Source organism: Homo sapiens, chromosome 12 (assembly GCF_000001405.40).
Source record: "Homo sapiens chromosome 12, GRCh38.p14 Primary Assembly".
Classification (NCBI taxonomy): Eukaryota; Metazoa; Chordata; class Mammalia; order Primates; family Hominidae; genus Homo; species Homo sapiens.
This window is the reverse complement of record NC_000012.12, coordinates 96866328-96876020: the sequence shown is the minus strand read 5'-3', so window position 1 is coordinate 96876020 and position 9693 is coordinate 96866328. Positions and strand designations below refer to the sequence as shown.

The window sequence follows — 9693 nt, the reverse complement described above, 5'->3', positions numbered from 1 at the left end:
CTTCTCAAATGCTATAAGAGGCAATTCTCGTCATTTATGGTCTCATTAGGTATTTCATCTACCCAATACATCTTCTCAATATTTCTTCCTGGAAGTAATCATCTCGTGGCTCAACTAACAATATTTTGGACTAGGGATTTTTGTTTTTGTCTTCTTTCCCTCTTCCCGCCGCCCCCGCCCCCCACCACCCCAATATAGTTACTGCATCATCTCCTCTGTGAATCCTTGCTATTTCCCTGTCTTCCTAAAACATTTTGTGGAGGCTTCATGTTAACATCTATCTGCATTGTTGTATTGTGAATTGTAAGTTTACATTTTGTTGCCTTTAATATACTATCAGCATCTTAAGGGATGGGCCACAGCTCATGGATCTTTGTGTTTTTAGAGCCTGGAACTATGTCTAATATAGAGCAAAGCTCCAAAAATGCATATTGAATAAATGAAGGACTAAATACACATGCATGCTCATTTTTACCAGAATGTAGTTTTAATCTACTTGAGAATTAATTCTTTTCAAAACGCAGGAGAGAGTGGGGAAGCCAAAGCAACTTGATAAAGAAATAGATAAGCTGGACAAATGAGAGCGAGCTGAGGAGATATACAGACCTGGAACTCACAGAGAAGATAGGAGTTAAACTGCCCTACTGGGAGCTGAAACACCTATGAAGCTGCAGCAGGCCAGTTGATCAACAGCGAAATCTCAAAGCAATATCTAGAGTATTTGTATATATCATAAGAAATCAGATGGGGCAAGATCCAAGTTTGAACTAGAGGCTTCTGTGCAAGCAAGACATTGAATCATGACTACTTCTTCTCACCAAATTTCCAAAGGCTGACAGATATTGCTGAAAAATTCCTCAGTCTGTTGTCATACTCTTGATTTATTTCTCAGTTTTATCATCCCTAGAGGAGGAAAAAAGAGTAATACCTTGAATTTCATATAATTTTCCTCATTTCAGAAAGTGCATACTTCATTTCACCTCACCTGTTAACCAAAAATTATGCTCCTGCGCTAGTCCTCAACAGACCTGACCAAACCATAATGGAGTCACTAACGCTGAATGCCACATCATCAAACCAAAACTTTAAAAAAGCAGAGATCCCGGCCGGGCGCGGTGGCTCACGCCTGTAATCCCAGCACTTTGGGAGGCCGAGGCGGGCGGATCACGAGGTCAGGAGATCGAGACCAAGGTGAAACCCCGTCTCTACTAAAAATACAAAAAGTTAGCCGGGCGTAGTGGCGGGCGCCTGTAGTCCCAGCTACTCGGGAGGCTGAGGCAGGAGAATGGCGTGAACCCGGGAGGCGGAGCTTGCAGTGAGCCGAGATCGCGCCACTGCACTCCAGCCTGGGCGACAGAGCGAGACTCCGTCTCAAAAAAAAAAAAAAATAAAATAAAAATAAAAAAAAGCAGAGATCCCAAAACAGAACAGAACAATTGTTCCTGAAAACAGAAGATTCCAGTTTACCTGAGTGAGTGTAATAAGGAAGTCCCTCTGTTTTAACTCTTACAAAAAAGCAACCTGATATTAACCAATCAGGTTTTATTTTCTATTCTTCTGTTTCCTTGTTCCTACCTTACAAAACTCACTGTTGTGCCATTGTCCAGCAGGAGCTCTCATTCTATTCTGCAGAATGCAGGCTGTCCCTGATTCATGAATTGCAAATAAAAGCAAATTCGATCTATAACTAACTTTGTTGGAATTTTGTCTTTTGACACTATATGCATATTAGAAATGTAAAAAACATTGAAATACCATCCTGTGGAATTGAGATCAATTCCACGGGAGTGTCAATGTGCCCCTGTTGACTGCTTGGAGCTGGACCCATTTTAAGGAAGCAGAGTTCCCTAGAGGATTTTGATCATGTTAAGTTTAAAATTCGATTAAACTTCTAAATGGAGATGTTAAGTAGGCAGGTGGCTACAGGAATCTGGAGATAGGAGAGCACTCTGGGTTGGAGATAAAATACTGGAGGATTTTGGCATATAAATGGTACTGGATAGGGTTATCTTGAGTGAGAGTATGGAGAAGACAAAAGAGAACATATGCTACGGAGAACCAAATTTTTTGATTAACACTCTAGTCAGGTAATCTTTGAAGTCTTGGGTCAGCAAATCATAGCCCCCAGGTAAAATCTGGACCACTGCCTGGTTTTTGTGCAGTTCCTGAGCTAAGAATAAGAATAATTTCATATTTTTATGGTAGGGAGAAAAATACAAATAATAATATTTCATGGCACATGAAAATTATAAGAAATTCAAATTGATTTTTTAAAGTTTTATTGGAACACATCTATGCCTTTTGTTTATACTTTGTGTATGGCTGCTTTTGCACTGTAATGGCAGAGTTGACTATTTGCAATAGAGACACAAAGCTAGATTTACTATCTTGCCCTTTATAGAAAAAGTTTGAAGACCCATGTATTGTGTGAGAATGTGTCTTGGAACTGCTATGGCCACTGTTGCTGCCAACAGGAAAACTAGACTGAAGACAAAATGTCACAAGGAAGGGGACTGCTGAGATAACTGCTGAGAAATGAATGACAGCTGAGATGTGAATCATGAACCTCTGGATTGAGTCGAGCCAGAAGCTCACCTTACCTCCGGAATCTTCAGTTACATGAACAAATAAATTTCCTTTAGTGTATGACCCAGTTAAAGGTAGATTTTCTATTATCCAAAACCAAATGATTCTTAACTAATACAGTTGTAAGATTCAGATATAATCTCAGCTCTTTTTCCCTTATTATCCCCAAGCTTGACTCAAACCTCCCATTTCATAACCTATGAAAGTCTAAAACTATTCCCATGATTCCTACAAATTCCCCAAAACTTATGTTCTCATGATCCTTGTTCCAGAAATACCATGTTTATGATGCATGCAACTTTTCAACCATTCTACCTCATCACTAGCTTCTCAAACATTCAAACACATTTTACAACCATCATTTTTGTGAGTTTAGTAATTTTACTTAATGTTTGAGGGATCACTGTAATGGGTCACTTAATCCACTGTACAACCTTCTGTCATCTGATGGCTATCTATTCTTTTCTTCTCTTTCTCTTTTATTTCTCCAATTTTCAAAGTAAATAAATTCCTCTCTTTGTAGGATAGGCAGCCATTCCAGTTTGCCTGGAGCTGTCTTAGTTTGGGGATAGTCCCAGATTTTGCACTGAAAGTCAATCTCAGTTCTGGAAAAACTGGGAAGATTTGTGACCCTATCTCCTGTCTCAAGTAATTCTACCTGCTCCTCTGAAGCATCAAAGCTACCCCACATCAATGGCTCATAGAGACCACCTACTCCAACAGACTTATCAAAATACCTTTCTAATCAAGGCACCTCTGTCCTTAAAGGGAATTACTGTACTAGATGTTAAAAAATAAAATGTCTCATCATTAAATGGAAACACATTTAGAACTATGTCATCTTAATGAAATGATGCTTTCATCATTATAAAATGTTTTATTTCACCTCTGGCAGTATCCATTTTTGAAATATACCTTAATGACAATATAGCGACACCAGCTTTCTTATGTTCAGTGTTTACATGGTCTCCACTTCTCCATCCTTCTATTTTCAATCTGTTGGTGTCTTTTATTTAAAATAGAACAATCTCTGTTTTCAAATGAAAGTTTTGGTCCATTTACACTTAATATAGTTAATAATATGGTTAAATGTAAGTCTAGTGTAAGTCATCTAGATTAATAGGTTGACTTTTTTTTTCTTTCAGCACTTTTAAGAAGGCAACCCATTATCACTTGGTCTCCAATGTTTCTGATGAGAAGTCAGCCTTTACTCTTATTGCCCTCTTCCTTAGGACTTTGTGTTTTTTCTTCTGGTTGATTTTAATATGTTTTTCCTATTTTTGATTTTCAGAACTGTGACTATGATTTGCTTGGGTGTGGTTTTCTTTTTATTTATCATGCTTGGAGTTCATTGAACTTCCTAAATCCAAAGGTGGTTAATATTTTAAATCAAATCTGAAAAAATTTTGCCATCCTTTTTTCAAAGGACTCTTTCCTTCCTATCTAGGATTTCAATTTCTTCCTATCTGGGGCTCTTTCCTAACTTCCCTTCCTATCTTAGACTTCAGTTTCACACATGTCGAAACATGAATAGGCCATCATAGCTCTGAAATTTTTGAAAATCATTTTTTTCTCAGTGCTTAGATAATTTCTACTGATCTGTCCAGAAGTGTACTATTTTTTAAAAAAAATTCTGTAGCACCTAATTTGCTAAGTCCATTCAATGAATTTTTAAATTTCAGATCTATTTTTCCAGTTTAAGGATTTCCATTTGGTTCTTTTTCCATTTCCATATGTATCCTGATATCCCCCATCTCTTTATCCATTATAGCAATCTTTTTCAATAGATTATTTTACATGTATATTATAGTTATTTTAAAGTCTCCATCTGCTAATTCTAATACCTGGAACTTCTGGAAATGTGTTGACTGTTTTTTTCCTAGATTGTGGATGATATTTTCCTGCTTCTTTGTATATAAAGTAATTTTTAATTATTTACTGTACATTGTGGGCAACGTCGTTGAGTTTTGTTCTAGCATACAGTTAAATTACTGACAACCACTTTTATCTTATGGAGGTTTGATGGGTGGGCCTATTTTTGCTTTGCTGTTAGGCCTCATTTGTAGTCCTTGGTTCTAAAATCCTTATTCTTAAGGTATTTCCCTCCTAGGGTTTTAATGAAAAGCACAAATAATTTATTAAGTCCCTTTTCCTTGACTGGACTTGAATTACAAAATTTGTCTCTCCAGTACCATGCAGCTGTTGAAATCTCTGAGGCTTTGTTCTTTGAGCCTTTCAGCTATAACTTTCCATTGGATTCTCTGGAGTCTCATCATGTCCATGTGTTGTTGGTAGTCAGCCAACAGTTTTAGGAGAATTTGTGCACAGATTTTAGGGCTCCCCACACTGTCTCCCTCCTTGTTGAAACATTCCCTCCTTAATTTCTAACTACTCTGGCAGACCCACACCCTGACTTCTGAATCCTCAGTTCAGTCATTCAGCCTCTTCCTGATTGCACTCTGTCCCTTACGTATTTTGCAAGATGAGGTGTGTCCTCAGAGAATAGGCTGTTTAAATGTGGACCTCACCTAGTTTGTTTCCATATTTCAAGGATTACCATTCCTTTGGTTTCTGCCTATTTTTAGTCATTCCCCAGGGACTTCAAACATCATTTTAATTCTGATTTTATGATTGTTTGCACTGTTTTTTGATCCAGAGTTCAAAATTGTTATTGGCAAATGGTAGTTCAATAAAAGCCACTCTGCTATCACCAGAAATGAACTCCTATCATTACCATAAAAAAACCAAACCAAACCAAAACAAAACAATAAATAACCTCTGATCCTTCTAGACAGAAACGAACTTCCCCCGAAGATGTATGTAATAATATAAGAATGTAATAATGGTAAGAGCTACCTGTTATTGAGCATCCAGTATGTGTTGGACATTGTTCTAGGTGCTTTATGTATCCTAAATTTACAGACGAGAAAACTGAAGTACAGAGAAGTTAAGGAACTTGGCCAAATTCATGCAGGTGGTAAAAGGAAAGCCAGGACTATCCGATGTCATAGCTGACTCCCTCATCCATGATGCTACGCTGCTATTCAAACATAGGGTAGTTGTTCCTTGATGGAAACAACTTAGAGGAGACTTAAGCTTGTAGTAGAGAATTCAACTAAGTAACTTTTATAGTTCCTTTAAATGTAATAATCTGTTTTCTTTTTTTTTTTTCTTTGAGATGGAGTCTCACTCTGTCGCCAGGCTGGAGTGCGGTGGTGCGATCTCGGCTCACTGCAACTTCCACCTCCCAGGTTCAAGAGATTCTCCTGTCTCAGCCTCCAGAGTAGCTGCGACTACAGGCATGCACCACCACACCCAACTAATTTTTGTATTTTTAGTAGAGATGGGGTTTCACCATGTTGGCCAGATGGTCTCAATCTCTTGACCTTGTGATCCGCCCACCTCGGCATCCAAAAGTGCTGGGATTAAAGGCGTGAGCCACCATGCCCGGCCTAAATGTAATAACCTTCCTTCCTTCCTTTTTTTTTTTTTTTTTTTTTTGACGGAGTTTTGCTCTTGTTGCCCAGGCTGGAGTACAATGGCCCAATCTCGGCTCTCTGCAACCTCTGCCTCCCAGGTTCAAGCGATTCTCCTGCCTCAGCCTCCCAAGTAGCTGGGATTACAGGCATGCACCACCACACCCAGCAAATTTTGTATTTTTAGTAGAGACAGGGTTTCGCCATGTTGGTCAGGCTGGTTTCCAACTCCCGACCTCAGGTGATCCACCCGCCTCAGCCTCCCAAAGTGCTGGGATTACAGGTATGAGCCACTGCACCCGGCCCATAATAATCTATTTTCTTACAAAAATTATAATTCCAACTCAACTAAAAGTATTAATTTTCATGTCAGAGAAATTAATTTTCCTCAATCACCAATCCAGAAATATATACATCAAATAGTATTCCCATATCGACTCAGCTCCTGCAGAACTGTTTCTCTTTTCTCTACTTTTGAATTTGACTTCCAGCACCTCAAGCGGAACTATGTACTTGTGGTTACCTGAATTGCTGAAGCACTACTTGTATATTGTGTTCATTCTGGATGCAATGTCAAGATTGATCAACCAACTTATTTCAAGCAGTTCAAAGAATCAGCCTTTGAAGTCTTGAGAAATAGCCGTTTTGGTGTGTTTTTTCCATACAACCCAAAATATATTTGAAAAATATTTTTAACCAGCAACATTGTTCTAAGAAAAAAAAACACATTATTTTTCCTCGAACAAAAATTAAACTGTTTCTAAGGTCAATAAAAACATTCCTTTCCTTGATATCCCTCCCTTGCTACATGTCTCCCAAATTGTTTTAAACTAATTAGTCAGAAATGGATATTGTTTTGCAAAAATAAAATAAATGACAAATCCTTGAAAGAAAAGTCTACAGTCCTTGAAATGATCTATAAAATGTGTTTTATTTTCCTGTGGGCTGCTATTGAAGACAGTTTTTTAATGGGATGTTATTATCAGGATTCACAGGAAAACTTATTTGCTGGAATGAGTACCAGGATCAGTAACAGCAATGCATCTCCTAAGTATGTAGTCCGTTTTTCCCTTAAAATGCTGTTGATCTATCTTGTAAAGCACTGTATTTACTTGTTAACAAGTGCTGCAGGAAAGCATACAGCCAATCTATGGTTGACTCCCAGTGAATGCAAAGGATGAATGGCACGTTAAAAAAATTAAAAGAAAAAAAAGGGCTCAACTCCTGGCTCCATCTTACTTTTCTACCATGTCTTCCTTGCCTAATTGTTCTTGTCTGGTTTTAATTAATCTTACCATTATTTTGAATGCATACTTATAAGCTACCTTACATTTTTTTGAGCAAGTTCAAATACGAATAACTAAATGGTCTAGATTAGACTGCCACAATTTAAAAAATAAGAACCACTGAACCATAAACAAAAATGGAAAGGAAAACGAGAATGTAAAAAAAAATTCACAAAAATATATAAAAACAGTTTGTATTCCTGTTATTGAGGGATCTTGGAAATCTCAAAAAAAAAAAAAAAGATGAACATACAAGTAAAAAATTGAGCAAAGATCCTGAAGAAGCATGACAACAGAAAAATATACAGTGGACCAAAAAATGTGAAAAACATTCAACCTCAGTAGGAGTCAAATAAACATAAATCTAAACCTAAGAATAAATTTTTGTACAAAGTGGGAACATAAATTTATTTGTTTCCTTGAAATCTACCTACTTTGGTCCCTGACCTCAAGGAGAGGACAGCTATGTAAACAAGCACGTGCAAAATAGAATGAGTGTGATAAGAGCACCTATGTGTTACATGGAGACACCAGGGAGGAAGTGGTACGGACAGGTTCCATGGTGGAGGAGACGTCTGGGTTGAGTCCGGAATGAAGACTTGAGGCCATTAGGTATGAGTCTTTTTTTTAAATTGATGAATAAAAATTGTATATATTTATCATGTACAAACATGTTATTCTGAAATATATATACATTGATTATTATTATAGAATAGGTAAATCGAGACAATTAATATATGCATTTCCTCACATACTTATTTTTTGTGGTGAGAACAGTTAAGATCTTCTCTCAGCAATTTTTGAGCGTACAACACATTGTTACCAACCATAGTCATTATTTTGTGCAATAGAACTCTTGAATACATTCTTCTTGTTAACTTGAAATTTTGTATTTTTGACCAACATCTCCTCAACAGCCCCTCCTCTAGTCCCTGGTAACTACTCTCTGCTTCTACGAGTTTAACTTTTTTAGATTCCATATATAAGTGAGATCATGCAGTATTTGTCTTTCTGTGCCTGACTTATTTAACTTAGCATAATGTCCTCCAGGTTCATCCACGCTGTGGCAAATGACATAATTTCCTTACTTTTTAAGGCGGAATAATATTTCATTACATATACACGCACATCCCACATTTTATTTAGCCATTCATTCACTGATGGAGACTTACGTTGATTCCATATCCTGGCTATTGAGAGTAATGCTGCAATGAACACAGGAGGGCAGATATCTCTTAGACATGTTGATTTCATTTCCTTTGGATATATAGCCAGTAGTTAGATCGCTGGATCAGATGTGAGCTTTTTGAAGGAAAGGACTGCCTAAGTGTCACTGCTTGTGTTCACAGTTCCTGGCATAGTACTAGAATTTGATAATTTTTTTTTAAATAAAGAGAAAGGACATTTTTGCCAGGAAGCAGAGGACCAGACTAATGAATAAGATCTATCAAATGAACAAATGTATGCTTGAATGAATGAGCTCAGTTTGTCAGAGAAATACTAATGTGTCTATGAAAAAGAGATTAAATGACCAGCCTCCAAAGGACAAAATGAAGATTTAATTTTTTTCCCTCCTATGGATCATTACATATACTTTATTACTAGGAAAACAAACTCTGGACAATTCCTTTGGCCCTAATTACATCTTGATCATTCTAACTGCATTTCATCCAAACCCCAGCAGGCCTAAACATTTTCAACTTGAGCATTTTCCCAGCCAATAAGCTCTGAAAAGGCCTGTCTATGTTACACTTAGGGAATATAAACAGTTGACTTGAATCTCAATACTTTTCTGAACATTGTTTTGTTTTATTTCTGGCTATTAGGGAAAATAATTAGATAGGCTATAGAAAATGTAGTTAAATATTAACAATGGTTATTTTACAGTGGTTGACTTCTGGGTAACTTATTTTCACCTTTCAGTATTTTGTAGATTTTCTACATTAGTTCCGAATTGCATTTATAATGATAAGAAAAGAAATCAGTCCAATAAATTCTTGTGAATCTTGTGGGGAAAAATTAAATTAGGCAAGTTGTGAAACTACTTAGAAATCTTTGAATTTCTTAGAAATCTACTCAGTTTTCACATCATGTACAATTTAAAGGGATGGTTCAGGGTGGTTTGTACTTGGGCAGAATCTGGTTTTAGACCTATTCCATTCTAAGCTGTTAAATACAAAATGTATGAAAGTTATCTTAAATATCAAACAGGAACAAAAGCAATTCATTTGCAATTAATTTTGAATAGTTGAAAATGGTTATTTTACAGGGTTTATATATTACAGGTTATGTTACAAATTATTACTCGTTGTAAAAAAATTCCCATCCCTCTTAACCCAGCTTTT

At 36.8% G+C, this 9693-nt stretch overlaps 1 protein-coding gene across 2 annotated transcripts in view; it reads right to left on the bottom strand.

The window, feature by feature from the left end:
- Positions 1–465: 465 nt before the first annotated feature.
- CFAP54 (cilia and flagella associated protein 54) overlaps positions 466–9693 on the bottom strand; it is a 385979-nt gene continuing 376751 nt past the window's right edge. For both annotated transcript variants that reach the window (NM_001367885.1, NM_001306084.2), the window contains one exon: positions 466–903. The gene's annotated coding sequence lies outside the window, so the exon portion shown is untranslated. The remainder of the gene's footprint in view (positions 904–9693) is intronic.